Source organism: Homo sapiens, chromosome 4, assembly GCF_000001405.40.
Source record: "Homo sapiens chromosome 4, GRCh38.p14 Primary Assembly".
Taxonomy (NCBI): Eukaryota; Metazoa; Chordata; class Mammalia; order Primates; family Hominidae; genus Homo; species Homo sapiens.
Window position 1 is genome coordinate 23301697 of NC_000004.12, and position 20071 is coordinate 23321767.

Here is a 20071-nt window from a genome sequence, read left to right on the forward strand (position 1 = left end):
ATGTTAATATGTGCCTATCAAGGGAAAACATATCCATTGATATGGGTATTGAGAGACCAAACAGTATTTTTAATTTAAAAGAGTAGTACAGTTACACAACATAAAATCAATATTTATTGGATATTAAAACAGTTCATTCAGGTTTGACGTTTACAGAATTTTGTTGGCTAGTTTCTTCATTTACCTTATTTGGAGACCCGAATAAGTGCCTATGAACTGTAGAAACTTGTCTCAGGAATTTTATATCTACTGCCATACACAAAGTCCACATAAGACTCAGGGTAATAAGTTACAAGGTTAGCAATAAGGATTTTTTACTTATAAGTAGAAGTTTCTCGATTTTATAAATGGCTTAGAAAATAATAGAGTAGAAAGTGTTCATGGCTTGATATGTTTTTAAAAGAGAAAAAAGATGATTTCTCTGGAAAACAATAATAAAGGAAGGAGAATACTATGAGAAACAAAAGATTCCCTGAAAACTTTGTTTCCTAAGACAAAAATTAAAACTTTTCATTATACAAATATGTCTTCATATAGAGCTTTCTGGATTGGAAAATACTTTAGAGGAGTCGATATATGAATAGATGGTAGAGAGATAAATGGATGGAAGAGTGTATATATATGTGTGTGTGTGTATGTCTGTGTGTGTGTGGGGGGGGGGTGTGTATGCACACACTGTATGTATACATATAAAGATTGAAGAGTTTATATATGTGTGTAATAAATATATAAAATACACAATTCATGTGTAAATATAATGTACTAGATAAAATAGAATATATATAATCCAGTTACTGCTGGCATACCTTCAAGGAAGAAACCTCATCACTTCCTGATGTTGTAGATGCTTACAGAAGCTTCCATCTACTCATTGATTCATGTATTTGTTTCGTAAGCATTAATTGTCCTCTATTATTGGATACTTCATTACAGTCACCATTCCTATCTTCATGGAATACAGAGTTACTGTGAGAAGACATATGTAAAATATGAATGCCATAATATAGTGGCCTTGAGAAAAATGTGAATGAAGTAGAGAAAATATGGTTAAGGATGGAAGTTGACAAAATTAGTATTGTAAGGGAAGTTTGCAGTACAGGAAAACCTCAGAAGAAGATCCTGTAGATTGCAGGAGCAACAGAGCAAAGGCTCAGAGACTCGGTTGCAAGGGCCCTGGCAGAATTGCAAGCCTTGCCCGATGGCTTGAATTTAAAATGAAACACTTACAGCTAAGTGAAACTACATGATTATAAACAAAGCAGGAGTAAATATATTTTCAGGTAAACCTAAACTGCAGATAAGCAGAGGTCACAGTGTTAATATCCATCAAATAAAATTTAAGGCAAAAGCATTTTATAAGAAAAAATAGCCATTTTATAGCAATAAGTACAATTTGCAATAATATAAGTGTTAGCTATCAAATAAAATTGGCTCCAAATACATGGAGGTGTAGTTAAAATGTAATATTAATGGGAGTCAATAGCACACTCATTTAAGTCTCTGGCAAATCTTGTTAGCCAAAGTTAATCAGGATATAAAAGCTATGAATTTATACTATATACTACGTATGATTTTGTAAGCTATTATATATTACTATATATCATAACATTTTATTATATCCTACTTTATTATATGTAATATAGTATATGTTTAGGCTAAACATTCTACCCTACAAATAGCAAATTCGCTAATTTGCTAAACCTTGCTAATCACAAATTTTTTAGAAGAACTGAACATGTAGTAGGCTACCATTGAAAAGCTAGGTAAATTTTTTAAAAAGTCTATGAGCCATATTATATGATAATGCAACAAAACTAGATATTAATAGAAAAACATGTTTAAAATGCTAGAAAAACAAATAAAAATATCATAAATAACTCTGAGGTCAATACAAATTAAATTTGCCCTGACAATGACATAGAATGCAATGTAAATGAGACTGCCACATGTTATATTAATAAAATGCAGCAAATCTCCATCTATAGAGAAATATATAAACCAACATGCACATATTTTAAGCAAGAAATAATGGATATTTTAAAAAGTAAATGTTCAGATCAAGAACTCATAACAAAGCAAATGAAAAATTAAATGAGTAAAGTAATATAAAGGTATTAATAAAAATTAGAAGGGAATGAATTATATAAACAAGAGGTACAAGAATGAAAAATGCATGTAAAATATAATTTGAAAAAATACAATAGTCAAGCCTTGCAGTGTTAATTGAGAAAGGAAATAAAAGTGAGGAAAATTACCTATGAAGCATTCGAAGTAAGAAGTATTAGATTAAAAACACAATGTTACTTTTAGTGTAAAATTACTGTAAACTAAAAATTGGAAAAAAACAAATTGCAAAATATATTTAAAAATTATATTAATTATCAAAATTAACATGAGAATCATGTAAGACCAATTACAATTACAAAACTTAAAAAAATTATCTCCCAAAAATTGTGACAGTGGAAGATGGTTTAGATGATTTTATGAAAAAGTTATGTCAAAATTATTCTTTTCTTATTTAAACTGTTTTAGAACATAGATAATACTTTACGAAGCTTAGAAAAGATTGATCTATAAACCTTCAAAACTAAAAACACATCATAGAGTGACTGTGCTTAAGATTATAGATATAAAGATCCTTAAGAAAACACTACAAATTTTGCCTAGTATTATATTAAATAAATAATATAAGATGATGGAATGGACTGGGCCCCCCAAATTTAAGCATAATGGCTTATTATGTTCATTATATTAATAGGCAGATTATTTTCCTGGACAATACAATAAATGACACAAAATGCAATGATAAAAAAACTGCTTTTAAAATTATTAGAAGCATTATGTGGTAAGGTGCTTCTATGCCTTATCTGATTGCAATGTGAATGTTTAAATCTGTCCAATTATCTACCCTTCCAAGAAATTCTCATCCCAGAACAAAAAACCAAACACCGCATATTCTCACTCATAGGTGGGAATTGAACAATGAGATCACATGGACACAGGAAGGGGAATATCACACTCTGGGGACTGTGGTGGGGTGGGGGGAGAGGGGAGGGATAGCATTGGGAGATATACCTAATGCTAGATGACGAGTTAGTGGGTGCAGCGCACCAGCATGGCACATGTATACATATGTAACTAACCCGCACAATGTGCACATGTACCCTAAAACTTAAAGTATAATAAAAAAAAAAATTCTCATCCCATTAATTTCTTGTTAATAACTAGTCTTTATTTCCTTCCTTTCCAGATTAATCCTCTATAATTTTTATAAAGCTACATATCAATCCAGACATTTTTTTCAGATCTTAATTTTTTTTCTCGATCTTAACTGCAATTTGTCCCATTCTAGAGGATTCCACTTTCTCTTTTAAATGGCAGCTCCTGTTTCTACACTTTTGCAAACATCTCAAAATATAACCTGAGAATCCTACTACCCTTATCGTGTTTCTTCTGACTCTTATGCATTAATCTCCATTTAAAAAACAAACAAAAGTGAAACTAAAACCTACTTCTTTGAAGTACATGTCATCTGGCTGAATCATCTGTATTCCTTCCTGGGGTCATCCACAAACATCTGAGTTAATCTTCTCACTCAACTAAAGACCTTGACCCTTAGTTCTCACTCTTCCTTTTCATCAAATTCCCACTATTATACAGGGTAACTCTTGAGCCACACAGAGGATGCATACATTCCTGGCCATTGCCACAAATTTGAGCCATAAGCTGGCTGCCACTGAAATTTTATCCTCATCAGAAAAAGTCGTATCTCTGAAATAATTAACTCAATGGCTTCACTCTCTCTCCCAATCCCCCATTCCTGCAGCTCCTCAACTCATCTCTCTTGCATCACTTCTTCCACCTAATTGGAACACCCAAGGCGTTGACTGGCACACATTCAAGTCACTTGAGGGTCTTTAAGACAATGTGGATGCTTTTTTGTCCTATGAAAGAACAATTATTTTACAATCTCTGCACTTCACATTTAGGCTCTAGTGAACCCAAGCACTGTGTAGGCAGGTTAAGAACCACTGCCCTGGGGTATTTATGTCTCTACTCTCGTTTCTTTCTTCAATGACTTTTCTACCCAGCTTGGATTCCAAGTCTCATCACTTCAAATTACCCTTTTCCCAATAGTCTCAATTCCATTCTTTTATGATCACTTTCATTTTTTTTCATGGGTAAAGCTTAAGGCCTCTTTGAAAAGTACTGCCCTGAGCTTCTAAGCTGAAAGAAGAATAACATACAACCTTTCATGCTGCTATTGTCAATACTTTGTAGTCATTAATATAAAATGATTTTTGTAGCTGCCCTGCAGTCCTACTGTGTGCATAATAAACTCGATTTTCCATTTCTCTATGGCACATGTCAAACCATCTCCATTTGCATCGAATCTCTAGCCCCATCATCTCTCACAGATGTCCTTAAATGACAAGCTCACGGTAAGAACAGAATCCTTTTAATGAAAACTCCCTGAACTTTCAGCTACCACAGCATCGAGCGTATTTGCTTCTGCACAATATTGTGTCTTTCATTTAATTGCAAAGTAATTAATGTCCTCCCCTCCCGTTCAAAGCTCACCTCTCAACTTGTTTACTGACTCCCTATGGCTCCTTCTCCTCAAAGGCTTTGCTTTCTTGTTTATCTGTAGGTAATTGGTTTAATGTTGTCAGTCACAGCCTGGGTTTGAACCATGGCTTCTCACTAAATGACTGTGTGACAATGAGCAGGTGACTTATCCTATTCAGGCTTATATTTTAAATATAAAATGGGGATATGAAATATGTCTGTTTCACAGAGTTGTGAGAATTGAAAACAATAATATTTATAAAAGACCTTAGAAGAGTAAGCACAATAAAAGTGTTTGACAAATCATTGCTGCACTCCTGTATATTTCAAACCTACTATTATATTCACTTCTAACCTGCATTTACACACTCACTCCATGTTTTCCTTCGGTAGCTCACATATTTTTCTCTTCCCATTCGCAATCAAACTTATCAGAGAAGTCTGAATTTGATCTCTGCTTCTGTTTCTCCTTTTCACTCCACAACCTTCCAAAATCTGGATTCTGCTTTTCCAACTCTGCCGAAACTGCTCTTGTCAATGTCAGTGATGATGGCCTTGTAGTTAAATCCAATAAATAATTTCCAGGCTTTATCTACCTGAACACTTGGCAGAGTTTGACACTATTGACTGCTTCTCCTTTCTTGAAACGCCCTCTCCCTATGACTTTTCTGTTACTGCACTCTCCTTACTTACCTTGTACTTCTCTGACCCTTTCATTTTTGTGTCTTTTGTGAGCTCCTCTTTCTCCTTGGCCTACCCTTTAATGATTAGCAATTTTCAGAATGCTGCTGTAAACTCTTTTACTTTCATATTTTAAATAATTTCCCTGGCTACAATTTTCTGCTTTCAAGGCCGCAGTTTCCATCTATAACCTGATAGGTCCCAATCTATAAGTCTCCAGCTCAGATGAGGAAGAGTGGGATGGTGTTTAAAAACATAAATTTTTAAAGACAAGGAGACCTATGCTCAAGGTTTGAATTCTTACTTTGCTACTTTCTGGATATCTGATAGAGAAATGATTTAACTAGTCTAAGCTTCAGATCAGTTTATTGTAAAAAATTGTTGAAAATAATTTCTTTTATACTCTAATTAAGTAAGCGTGTGTACATTATTTAAGAGAATCAGTGACATGTTAAAAAGTGCTTAATACATTTTACCTGTTTTTTATTGCCTCTACCTGTAGCTCTTTCTCTTGAATTTCAAACTTGTATGTAAACTGGCTATTTGATACCGCTATTTGATTGACCCAGAAAGCCCACAAATCCAATGTCTGAACATAGTTTCCCAAGTCTCTTTTTCGTAATGTGTTTCTTAACTCATTGAATGGCATACTTATTAAGAACCTCATTCCCAACACTTCTTTCTTATTTAATACCTTTTTAAGTTTCGTGCATTTGCAGTTATATCACCCTTTCCATTTATATTATTATTTATTTAGACTTTTTTTTTCTTTGATAAATCCTCCGGGAGATTTATCTATTTTATTAATGTCTTCAAAAAATAACATTTTTATATTTAAAAAATATTTTAAAATAATTTTATATTTTATTAATTCTGCTGTTAGGTTGATTATGGCTTACCTTCTTTAGTTGCACACTTAGCACATTTTGTTGCACATTTATGCAACAAAAAAGAAAAGTTGCACAGCTTTTCTTTTTTATATATAAGCACTTAGTGTATTTCCTTCTAAGTAAAAGCTTTAATATGCAGTAGTTTTCTACATGTGGTTATAACAACTTAAGAATAGTAAGTTATTACTCTTAAATAGAAGTGTGTATGTGTAATAACTCTTTCGTTATTAATAGTCTTGTGATCAGAGAATTTGACCATTTATATTGACCATATTTGGAAATGTATTAAAACCTACATTATGACTCAGTGCACAGGTTTTGTAAATGCTTCAGGTGTTTGAGAATAATGTACATTTTCTTATTCTTGGTTGAAGGAGTTTATATAAGTCTGTTAATTCTAGATTCTTAATAGTCTTCAAGTTTTCTGTATTTATACTCATATTTTCCAGTTTATCTATCAAGAATTGATAAACATGTTAAATTTGACACAAGGATGAAGGATTTGTTAACTTTTTAAAGTAGCTTTTTCAATATTTTGTTTTATTTATTTGGAGATAGTTTTATTAGGAGCATAGAAACATAGAATTGTTAGAGAATCATGGTAAATATAGCCTTTTATCCTGATCTGATAACAATTTATATCCATAAACATACTTTTGACCTTAAGATATATTTTTCTTCTATTAAGATAGTTATGTCCACTTTCTTTTAAGTTAGTATTTGTTTTGTATTTTTTAAATTATTTTTCTTTAAGCCTTTCCATGTCTTTAATTTTTAGCCATGTCTTTGTAAACAGCATATAGTGACACTTTAAAAATCCAAATTGATAATCACTGTCTCTTCTTGATCATAATACATTTATAAATTTTTTTATTAAAACATAATTGGGTCTGTTTCTACCATCTTACTTTTAAATTTATATGAGTCTCCCTATCACCATGCTACTTACATTAAAAAAGTTTAGCTAATGTTTTTTCCTCACATTATTATTTTTTTCATCTTTTTAGTTTGTATAACCCTGAAATTTTATCATGCAAATTTAGTTTTAGTAAGTCACAAACTAAACAATATCTTAATCCTCTTTTGTAATAATTTCAGAATTATAGAACTCTCTAAATTAGATCACTCTCCTTCTGACTTGCATAATATACAAAACATGTGGCACATTTTAGTTTTATTTTCCTTCTATGTTAAATATATTCTTTCAAATTTTCTTTCATTCAGCTTTTTTTGTCATAATGTCTCACTTTTGTTTATTTTCATATGGTTTATTTCACACTTTTCTTCAAGAATGGTTTTGCTGATAATATGATTCTAAGTTAGCAGTCATTTCCATCAGCAACTCTCTTGCTACTGCTTGCTGGCTTCCAATGATGCTCCCTATTTATCTATTTGTTGGTTATATGTTATTTCTCTTTGTCTTTTTTTAAATTATTTAAATCATTTTTATTTTAGAATGAACAATTATTATATTCTACTTTATACATTGAAAACATTCTAATGTAGGACTCAGGAACAAGAAATAAAAGGCAAATCACTACAAGAGCCAGTGTTCAGAGGAAAATAAATGTGGAATTGGAAGTCCGGGGTTTCTGTCCCTATTATGTCACATCTTAGATGTATGACCTTGGGCAAATCACAAATGCCCCTCAAGCTCCAGCATCTCCCTCTTTCAAGTGAGTATCCCCCTCACAGGTTTATCAAGAGGACAGAAAGAGATAGCATATGGAAACAATTACCTGAGAGCCTAGTTCAGAGACATGCCCAAGAGATAATGCTAAATCAAGAGAAGAAAAGGAAGCTTATTCAACTCCTGATTTGGGTCATCATGTGTGAATTGTATACAAGCTGCTCATGCCGTCTGGGGTTCAGGAAGCAGTCTGATAAGTTAAATACACCAATATTCAAAATAGCTAACATTGTTGAACATTAGCTATGTCTCTTAGACTGCTTTTAAAGTTTTCTTTTTGTCTTTATTCTTCCAAAGTTTTACTACAATATGTTACAATTTTGACTCCTTTATATTTATCCTGCTTGAGGAACATTCCAATTCCTAGATTCATAGATACATATTTTCATTGATATTGGAAAATCGATTTTCATCTCTTTACGTATTGCCTCTCCTCTATTCTCTTCATCTGGGATTAAATTATGTGTTTGTTAAAATTACTTGTATTATCCTTTATATCTTGTAACCTTTCATTCATATTTTCCATCTTTTTTCTCTGCTTCCTATTGACTACTGTTGAATATGTATACTGGTTCTCTAATTCTCTCTTTAGCTGTATCCATTCAGTTGTTTAGTCAAAATTTTTATTTCAACCAATATATGCTTAATTTTAGAAGTTACATAATCCAAAATGTATCTTTTTATTTCTAATAAACTGACTGAGTACCTTTAAGACAGCAGTTTTTGTTTTATTGTGTCGCATATAGAGTATTCTTTTATCTTCTGTGTCTGACATTTACATCAGCTGCAGAGATTTTTGACTTTATTTCTCATTTTTATTTCTAGTTTTCCTTTATGATGATCCTTAGACATAATGGCTTGCTTTCCTCTTTTGGGAATCTTGAACTATGTGTTTCTTAAACAGTGAAAGTTCAATGACCATAAATTAAGGGTTAGGAAGCTTTGTGCTAGAAGCCAATGAATGCCAGAAACTTGTGAGTATTTCAGCCCTTTCTGATAATCTAGACTCAAGTTCTCCTTCCCAACCTCCTGCCATTTCCCAATGGCATCATTGCTATTAATAATTCCCCAAGGGACTTCAATCATTGAACTTCAGCAACTGTGGTGTCTGTCTAGCTTTTAGGCCTTAGTTTATCTTCAGTCCTAATTTATAGGACATACATATACATTTATGTATCTGTACATATATATTTATAGGACTATACATATCCCTGCATATTTATCCTCCAAACAAATGAACAAACAAAAAGTCAAAAATGTTTACACTGTACTACTTTTCTCCATCCCCGTTTGCAATATTCCTGTTAAGATGACCATAATCTCCTGCTTACATTACTTAAACAATCCCTTAACTTTCTCCTTCTCTCAATTTGATTCACGTCTAATCCATACTTTCCATGTATTTAAAGTGCAAGTCTAAATATATATATTTGCTGCTTGAAACCATCCAGTGACCTCTCTTTCCTTCAGATAAAAGTCCAAGCCCCTTGTCAAGGTTTTCTCCTATGGTGCCCACATAAAATGACCATCGCTTGCATTCTGATCTTATTTCTCATTACTGCTCAATATTCCTCTGCTCACATTCTACATTGCAGGCAGTAAAAATACTTCATCTTGTTTCTCTTTGTCATGTACACTCTCCCCTCTAGAACCACGGGTATGCCATTTTCTATTTGGGATATCCTCCTTCCTCCCAGATCCCTACCCTCATCTTAAGTCTCCATTTCTTACTAACCTCTACCAAACAGAGTCTATTCATTCCTCCTTGGTTCAATTTAGATATAACTTCCTTCAGTAAATCTTGGAACACTATACTAGATTAGACATCCCTTCTAGATGCTCCTATGAAACACTATGTTTCTTTTATTGTAGAACTTGTCACACTTTGTTATAATCACTCTTTACTTGTTTGAATTCCCAGCTAGACTTTACACTCCATGAGAACAAGTATTGTCTACTTCGTTTATGATTGTATCCCAGATATGTAGCAAAGCACCTTGTATTGGGGTGCTCAGAAATAAAATTGCCAGCTACCACATAGTCTCTAATTCTTACTTAAAAAACCAAATCTGTAGTTCAATAAAGATTTCTTAAATAAATGCCTTAAATATAAAAGCTCAATAATTTTATTAAGGAGATAAAATATATTTATGGGTCACAACTAGTGATATCCTTGTACTTTTCTAAATAAAACTTACAGTAAAAGTGAAATTATGAAAATACCTGGTTACTTGATGTATCAAAACATTTTTTCTTACAGTTTACATATAGCATAGTATTTTGTCTTATGTTCATTTTCATGCAAATTATCCTAATTGATATTTGAATTTCACTGTGATCAGTTTGTCACAGAGTCCAGCCAAACCACAGTATCCCACATGCTATGCCACCCACTGTCTCTAACCATTTTATCCTGTCAGAGGCAGATCAAGCAGCCCTGAGTGTAATCATATCAAAATCGATTTTCATGGCTGAGAGAAAAATAATGGAAATTTCTCTAATGTAGTAAATGTATGTGTTCCTTTTGGTTAACCAAAATAGACTATATATCAGACCTGTCAAAATTAAGTTTTCTTGATTCAGTGCTCTTCCATCGACTTGTATACAAATTACAAAGGCATACTGTGGAGCACTATGATGCAATCTTCATGCTTCTCTGGACTGCTCCTGTGTCTCCCTCACATGAATAATACCACCAAGTTACAAAGCTACAAGCCAATTTACAGTGTGAATCCCCAAGCAACCTTCTCTATGTTAGGATAGTACTTTAAACCTATCACTTCTTTGGTCAATAGATTCTCCCATCATGAGATGTTCCCAAACAGTAACAATGGTAATATTTCGATGGGATCTGAACCAAATCAAATACCATCCTTTTGAACTCTTTTCAGTGTCTCATTTTCTTCTTTCTATAATCATTTGAGCAAAGGAATCACTTGCTTAAATATCAGTGTTCATTTATCTGAAGCCATTCAGGGTGATCAACCATGTTCAAATGTGATCCCAATGTTATGGTCACTCTACCTACACTATTTATTCCATGTTGTCTCAAAGCAGATACATTTTGAAAACGCTTGCACAATTTCTTTTTTTTTTTTGTCTTTTTTTTTTTGGTTTCTTGGTAAGCACAATCACAGTTGCATGTGATTAACTTGATTGATTCAGACTACACTCTTTAAAGGATGGTAGTTCACTACTAAACTTTGACTACCAAGTTAAGTGGTAAATAATGGCCTATAATAATGGTAATGTACAGGTGCAAAGTCAACTAGAAAAAATAATAATGCTTTTATTACTAAGGACAGAATGAGGTTCAATATATTAAAGAACTGACCCATGATGTAATTATGAAAATTGCTGACTAATATATAAATCATTAGGTTAATAAATAAATCATTTTTATAAAAATAGAATACAGCAGCCATTTACAACCAGCAAGAAATAAACCAAAAACTACTTCAAGTTCAGTATACCTAATGTATTATGCTGAAATTACAGAATTATTTGTTTTTTGGCCTGAAAGAAGTAAAAATCAGTATGCATTAAAATGTGCATCATATAAACAATGCCAAGATCCGTTCAAAAGAAACTTCTGGTAGTGTGGATACTCCCATTAAAAAAAAAATGAAGTAAGCTTCCCTAATATCTGTCCTGTTAAAATCAAGCTTATTTTCTTAGGTCTGTTTTCTTTGTTAAAATCAAACTCTTCTAAGCTCAGATGAAAACAAAATCAACTTTTAGAGTTTGGTAACTTGTGAACAGCAATGAGAAATTGGTTTGCATGTCTGATAATGGAAACCTTGCTAAAAGTTAGATTTCTGTTTTAAGCTTCTGGGATTTCTGAACAAGGTATCATGGTTACATATATGAGCAACCAGTGATAGTACTATTTATCAATATTCAAATTTCATAATCTTTACTCTAATTTGATGCTACAATTCATTATGTTCGCTGAGTTATTTTTAATAGCAGACAATATGATATAGTTGAAAAAACACTGAATTTAGAATTAAGAGTTCTTTGTTTCAACTTAATTTTCTGAATCTGGCTGGCCCATTAAACAAATCTGTCTTGCCAGTGATCAAACTCCTTTCAGTATTTCTTTTTAAATCTTTTTTAAAAAGCCAATTATCTTGAGCTCTAAGACTATGTGTGGCTAAAAAAAATATTTCTTATTGGCTTTTCATCTTTAAAAACCTTGAAGTTTTTTTTGCCATTCTTTAAGATCTTTGAGGCATTTAGGATTTTAAAAATCTAATAGCAGAACTTTTATGGATATATGGTAATTAACTATTGACTGAAATAAAATCTGAACTGGTTTTGATAAGACTCTCCTTCAAAGACTGATGAAAATATTGTAAAAAGGACGACCTAAACAGGGTGATAAGAAATCCATTCATACCCTCTCACAGACTTTCAATTCTAGACATTCCAGCTTCTAGGTGGCATGTCTGATGTGATGCATATTAGCATAATCAATAGGGAAATTGATCCAGTAAAAAGATGAGAAGAACTGACAAAGGTGTTTCCTTCTTGAAGCACGTATATAAAAAAACATAATTTCTGGCTGTTACGTAACAGTAGAAATTTCTTGACCTGCCCAGACTTTCAGGATGAAAAATAGCCCTCACAATCTGTAAACTCTTAAAAATTAGGCCACAGAATAAGTTAATACAGAAAACTGTCATTATTGTAGGATCTATTAAATTGTAGAGATCTTGGTGATTGTGTGCCTATAGATTTCAATATGTTTCAAAATCATACACTAAAGTCCTGGCAATGCCTCGTTAACAACTGTGTGGGTTCAAGACATCAGCATTATAATGTGTATATTATATGTGTTTTATGCACATAATGAAGTTGTTACATGAACATTCTCACTCATTTGCAAGTGTTTATTGAACATTTACTGTTTGTAATGATACACTAATAAGTGCTCTTATTTAAATTCATATTAACTTTGCAATAGCAAGGATTGGACATATTTCTTCCATTTTGCTGCCTGAGTTCAAATTCCATTTTCATCACTTACCTGTTACATGAACTTGGACAAATTATCCAACCTTTTTGTGATAACATGTTTTTCTCATTTATAAGATGGGAATAAAAAGAACAGGAAAAGTTATGGAAGTTTTGTGATGATTAAGCTAAATAATGTATTTAAGTGTTTAGTGTAGCAAGTTATAAATGCTATACATGGTAACTGCTATTATTTTCTTCATTTTAAATACCCCAAACTGAGACTATAGAAAGAAAATACCTTGTCTGTGAGTACATAGGTTATAAGTAGAAGAGTGGGGATTTAGACACTATTTCTTTAAATTGAAAGACTTATTTTTCCTTATATTTATAAAGATTATTAATTTTATCTACATAATGCCAAGATAGACTGGATTAAAAAAATGTAGTACATATACCCCATGGAATACTATACAACCATAAAAAGGAATGAGATCATGTCCTTTGCAGGGATATGGATGGAGCTGGAAGCCATTATTTTCAGCAAAATAATGCAGGAACATGGATGGAGCTGGAAGCAATTATTCTCAGCAAACTAATGCAGGAACAGAAAAGCAAACACCATATGTTCTCACTTATAAGTGGGAGCTGAAAGATGAGAACACATGGACACATTGAGGGGAACAACACACATTGAGGCCTGTGAGGTGCAGGGAAGGAGAGCATCAGGAAGAATAGCTAATGGATGCTGGGCTTAATACCTGGGTGATGGGATGATCTGTGCAGCAAACCACCATGATACATGTTTCGTATGTAACAAACCAGCAAATCCTGCACATGTACCCTGGGACTTAAAATAAAAGTTGAAGGAAAAGGAAACTGTAAAAAATAAAATAAAATAAATAGTAATAATGAATAAGACTTAAATGCAAACAACAGCAACCCTCTTCTTTTTCCTCTGCTTTCTTAATTCCAGTAACAAATTAATCTATTTCTTGGTTTATTAGTTTTAAATATTCTTCATTGTCTTCTATAATGAAGACTTAACACCCAAATATCTTCACCATCTACTTTGCATTATTTCATTCACCCAATAAAGTTGTATCAAAATAGTTCAGAAAGCAAATTTTAATGTTTGCCTTATAGATGCTAAGTAATTATTATTTGCTCGTCATCCAAGTCAAGCACTATGTTCCAGTTACCTTTCTTGTGTAATATTTTGTTTTAAGGTTTAAATGATTTTTAAAATTAATTTTTCCATAACTTTTTATGTCCCTATTATTAATTTTTCTTAAATTTTTCAAAAATTATCAAATGACTTTTGAGTCCTCTTTCTTAGAGGGCCAAACACATTAGATCATCTACTTATTTATTCCCGCTGGAGGTACTGCTCCAGTTTCAACTCCAGTTTTTTGCTACTCCAGTTTCAACAGTTTGTATGTCAGGCCAGGTATGCTGCTCTCATGCTGGGATTTCTCTTTTCTTTTCTCCCTTCTTCAAGACAAACCCATTCTTTCTGGATTCTTGGTCTTCTTTCTTGATTATCTTCTTGTTTTGATGGAACACATTTTGAGATGCTAGAATAGTCGCCTAAGAAAAGGTGCCTTAGCAGTAAGTATAGTTGACTCTTGAACAACACGCGTTTGAATTCTGTGGATTCACTTATAAGTGAATTTTTTTCCACCTCTACCACCCCTGAGGCAGCAAGACCAACTCCTTCTCTTTGTCCTCCTTTTCTTCAGTGTACTCATGTGAAGATGATGAGAATGAAGATTTTCATGATGATCCCCTTCAACTTAATGGATAATAAATAGATTTTCTCTTCTTTATGATTTTCTTATTAACATTTTCTTTTTTCTAGCTTACTTTATTATACAAACACAGTATATAACGCATATACCATACAACATATGTGTTAATTGATTGTTTATGTTACCAGTGAGGCCAACAGTAGGCTATTCATAGTGAAGTTTTGGGGAGTGAAAAGTTATACGTAGATTTTTGGCTGCACAGGGTTCAGCACCTTTAACCCCTGTGTTGTTCAAGGGTCCGCTGTGGTTTGAAAGTTAACGTGTCTGAAAATATATTTATTCTACTCTCATATTTGATAGTTTGACTAGATGTAAAATCCTATGTTTGCAGCCTGACCAACATGATGAAACTCCGTCTTTACTAAAAATGCAAAAAATTAGCCTGACGTGGTCGTGGGTGCCTGTAATCCCAGCTACTCAGGAGGCTGAGGCAGGAGAATCACTTGAACCCGGGAGGTGGAGGTTGCAGTGAGCTGAGATTGCGCCACTGTATTCCAGCCTGGGTGACAAGAGCAAAACTCCATCTCAAAAAAATAAAAAATAAAAAAATAAAATCCCATGTTGGAATATTTTTTCAGAATTTAAAAGGAATTACTCTATTCTTATGTAGTTTTTAGTTTTGCTTAAGATGTCAATTTCCATTCTACTTCTCCTTCCTTTATGTGTGACATGTTATTGTCTCCATGGGAATATTTCAATTTTAATTTATTCTAGTTTCAGGCATTTTATGATGATAGGACTTAGTATGGGTCCTTTTTCCCTTCTTTTAAATTGTTCTGAACACCAATGGGTCTTCAATTCTGAGAAATTTCCATGCACTATTTCTCTGATAATTCCCCCTTTAAAATTTCTTTCTCTTCTTTTTTTTTCTTGAATTTATGTTAGCCAGATGATGGACCTCCAGATTGTCATTTATTATTTAAGAAATATGCCCTTTTTTCTACTTTTAAAAATATTGGCCTTTTGATTCTACTTTCTTTGATATTTCTGTTGAATTTTTAATTGATGCTGTCTTTTCAAGATATATATATTGTTCTCTAATTATTTCCTTTGTATATTACCTTGCTCTTATTTTAGGAATGTTGTATCTTCTCTTATCTTTCCAACATTAAAAATTCAGTGTGATTTGTCTGTTTCGTGTTGAGATTTTTCCTGCTCTCTGTCCCTGTTCACGGCAAGCTCCCTCCATTATTTGTTTCAATCTCCTTCTTCCATGGTGACATTTCCCATATATGCCTGTTGATTCCTGAGTACCCACTCTAATTTCAAGTGAAAGCACTAACGAGATGATTAGAAGCTCTAGGTGAGCAAGGTATCACTGTTGCGTGATTGAGACAGGAACTAAACACTCTTTGCCCCAGTGAACTCAAATATTCTTATCTGCATATCTTTCTGTGCACTTTCTAGGCCCATTATGTGCTTCGTTATCATCCTTGTATTTCCAGAGAAGAATCTTCCAATCCACTATCTATAAATGACAATGCAGTGGAAAGAATAAAGCATAAAACTCCATAACAAAATTAACAAAATTCTGGGAGCTAAGAAGAAGGATGAGGGTCTCATTATTTAATGTGCAGAGATTTGTTAATATCTCTATTATCATTATTGTGCTGCTTATCTTGGAGAATCTTGACATTAATTTCTCTACATAGCAAGCTTTCTCCCACTATGAGTGAGAGGGATAGCTACACAGATACAGAGGATAAAGAGAGAGTTTCATGAATCTAACTACTTCTTCAAACTTTCAACCAATTCCAAGCCTTATAGGAACTTCTGAGGTAGCTGATGCCTCAAATGCCTGAGCTAAGATTCTGCAAGATGGGCTTGCCTTGCTTCTCATTTGATACTTCCTTAAGTATAGGTAATTACTACATTCATTAATTATTAGATAATTTTTTTCATATCTTAACATTTTTGAACATGGGGAACTGTATTACAGTTATTGGCAATATGGCAGCTTGTATTTTCCTAAGATGATTGTAAAAGTATCTTCTATCTCACATGTATTGTTTTTATTATGACTTTGCCATGTTTTATTACGACCTTGTTTATGACCTATGTTTATTATGACCTATGTTTTTATTACCTTGCCAACAAGACATGGAATGTACATCTTTTCTCACTGAAACTGGTTGAACTTTTGTGACTGCCTCAACTGGCAGTGTAAGGTGCAAGTGAGGCTATGTGACTTGAAATAGATTATAAAGAGAGATATAGCTTCTGCTTAGCTGTCTCACTTGGGATCTTTGATCTCGCAACTCAGCTACCATGTTGTAAAGAGGCCAGGGCTACATGTAGAGGCCACATGTATGTGTCCTGACCAATAAGCCCAGCTGAAGTCCTAGATGACAGCTAGCATTAATCACCATCCGTGATAGTGAAGACTTCGAGATGACCCCATCCCTAGCCTGCATCTCATGACAACTTCATGAGAAACCCTGAGCCAGCCAACCCAGTCAGCTCCCAAAACCGTGAATTATAGTAATGAAAACATTGTTGATTTAAGCTACAAAATTTGGTGTGGCTTATTATGCAGCAATAGATAACTGAACATTTATCACTATAAATTTAACAGTTATAATTGGCAGTGATTTTTCTTCCTTAATGAAACAAACAAATGGTGCATCTTATAATAAATGACATCACAGATTCAGAAAATATATTAATATTCTATTTTCTGTCTTGCTAACTTCTCTTCTGCTTTCTGTGCTCCAAAATGTTGTTGTCCTCTCTGGTTTACCAATAGTTCCCCTGGTCCTTTTATTTCATTTTCCTGTTCTCATTTTAGTGAGATTTTTGGAAGGAGTTGTGGTAAGTGTGTGTTCCATCTGCTGTGTATAGCTAAGCTCATCATGTTGTTTATGAGGTTCTGTATTTGTAGATAGAGACTCAGTGCTGATGGCTACCTAAAAACTAGTGTGTGTGTGTGTGTGTGTGTGTGTGTGTGTGTGTGTTTGCATCATTACCTAGGTCTTATTTCTTTACTTTAGTGATACCACGTTAGTGCTTTGTAACTGTTCATTCAATGAAATCCTTCTGTGCAAAAAATAGAAATATAACCAAAAGTGGACTAAGATTTAATTCAGTAGAGCTGTATTATAAGACCCTTTACACACTTGATTATGGAGTGACAATGAGCAGTTCAATATAACTTTCCGATCCCCAGTTTCTATAAGGACACAATGGAAATATCAATTCTAACAGGAATTTTACATGATAATTTAATGAGATATGTGAAACTTTGTCTTACAGTAGTTTATATATATTTCTAATAAATGTTTACTCAATATGAATCTACTTAACTTTCTTCATTATTTTAATGGGGCAGTTATAAATTAAGTTTTAAAAAGCATAAAATATCCCTGAACTATTCATCATGTTGAGTTTTTCACCATACTTTGTATACTAATTTCTCATCCTGAAAGAGCTTAATTATAGAATTGCTTTTTGTCTCCCCAGCATCTATTCCCTTTTTTTTTTTTTTCTGGTAACAGAAGATCAATTTTCCTCATTGGTTTTAGTCTTGTTAAACTACCCAATCATGTGTCTCTGCCCTCCCTTTGGTAAAGGATATGTAAAAGTTCAAGCTAGGCCATGACTAAGTTTTCTTCCAGAAATTTTAATATTGAATTGAGCTACACAGAGTTTAAAAATGGCCAGCCAGGCATGGCTGTAATCCCAGCACTTTGGGAGGCTGAGGCGGTCAGATCACGAGGTCAGTAGATCGAGACCATCCGGGCTAACAAGGTGAAACCCCGTTTCTACTAAAAATACAAAAAATTAGCCAGGCATGGTGGTGGGCGCCTGTAGTCCCAGCTACCCGGGAGGCTGAAGCAGGAGAATGACATGAACCTGGAAGGTGGAGTGAGCTTGAAGTGAGCTGAGATCGTGCCACTGCACTCCAGCCTGACTGCCTCTCAAAAAAAAAAAAAAAAAAAAACAAAAAAAAAAACTAAATTTCACTCATCTACAGGTAACATTTTGAAGAAACTGCCCTTTGATGCTTGCTGCCTAGATTCTTGGAATTGCCTTATGTGCCTTTGCTAATATGTGTTTGTTAAACTCTTCCTTTGAATCTTTGAGCTATTCTGTCTTCTTCCTAATACATTTCTGTTTTTACGCAAATGAATCAGAATTTGTTCCTGTTACATGCAACCAACAAATCCTAATTGATCATTGATATTCTGAGAATTCATTTCTAACAAAAGGGCAACCTGTATTTGAAGGTAAATCTGACAATATAAATGAGCTTAACTGGCTTATTATTTCTCATATCCTGTCCATAAAAATACTTTCTCATTCTCAAAATAAGATATTCTTATGTACATTACAGGCAGATTATTCACTTTCCATTTCTTTGAGATTTCAACAAATATAATGGTAGAGAGAGATGTGTTGGGAATATATAAAAGCAAGCCCTAAAATAGACTGGATGAAATTGCCATCATTTGAAGGAAAAATTTGCTTCAAATAAGATAACCAAATATGTCTTCACTGGACAGGTAAACACGTTAAATACACTTATCTAGGAATCTAGTTGCTGTAATTCATTAAATCAACTCATAATTTTAAATTCACACATCATTGGAAGTTTTCTCCTTCTACAAGAATTTACTTGGCATGGTGGGAAACAGAAGTGAGTCCTCTGTGAGCTGTTGCTTAAATAAAACACAAGGGAGACATTCATATGATGGGCCTCTGAACACATTGCCAAATTATAATTATCCATAAACAAAGACCAGAAACCCAGAAAAAAATCTATTAGTGCTGCCATGCCTTCTTAAAGCTCTTCCTTTGATGATTTCTATTGCTACTCAGAGTCACATTATTACCAGCTGATAGGGGGCACAGATGGCTCAGAGCAGAGAGGTTTGTTTCTGTTATGGTTGATGCTATTTCTTCATGTCTCTTTTTTTTTAATGGAGATTTGGCATATTTCAATTTTCTATATTTCTCAGATAATTGTTCTACTATATTTTTTGCTGTTGTTTTCACCTAATTAGTCAGAATGTGGTTTATGTGTATGGGGCACTAGCTTGGCTCCCTTTGAACTCATGGTAACAGGAGACAGCTCTGTTTATTTTCCTTCTGCTGTTTGTTTGAAAAATACTCTAGCTGATTTGGCTTTCACCATAAAGCAAGAAGCTGGCCCTGAGAATTTCAGCCCTAGTATCTGAGCACGTGTGCACATGTTATCTTGGGCTTTCTAATGCTTTCTCAACTTTAGTCTTTCCCTTGCTTTTCTTTCTCTCTGTCTCTCTCTCCTCCTCTCTCTCTCTCTCCCTCCCTATTTTTCTCTTTTTCTCCTTCTCTCTCTCTGTACGTTTCCTTCCTACACACCACAGACACACACACATACTACACACACATTTTCACCATTCATGGACACTGTCATTACTATGTATGGGAGAAATTCAATAATGCAAAGTAAAACTATTAGCTCCAAACTCTCCTACTTCAAATTACTTTCC

General features: G+C 33.5%; 2 long non-coding RNA genes across 3 annotated transcripts in view; one reads left to right on the forward strand and one right to left on the reverse strand.

The window, feature by feature from the left end:
- Positions 1 to 20071, forward strand: part of LOC105374524 (uncharacterized) — a 507306-nt gene that overhangs the window by 304165 nt on the left and 183070 nt on the right. The window lies entirely within an intron of this gene.
- LOC105374523 (uncharacterized) overlaps positions 837 to 20071 on the reverse strand; it is a 97876-nt gene continuing 78641 nt past the window's right edge. For both annotated transcript variants that reach the window (XR_925461.2, XR_925460.2), the window contains one exon: positions 837 to 966. This is a non-coding gene — a long non-coding RNA (uncharacterized LOC105374523). The remainder of the gene's footprint in view (positions 967 to 20071) is intronic.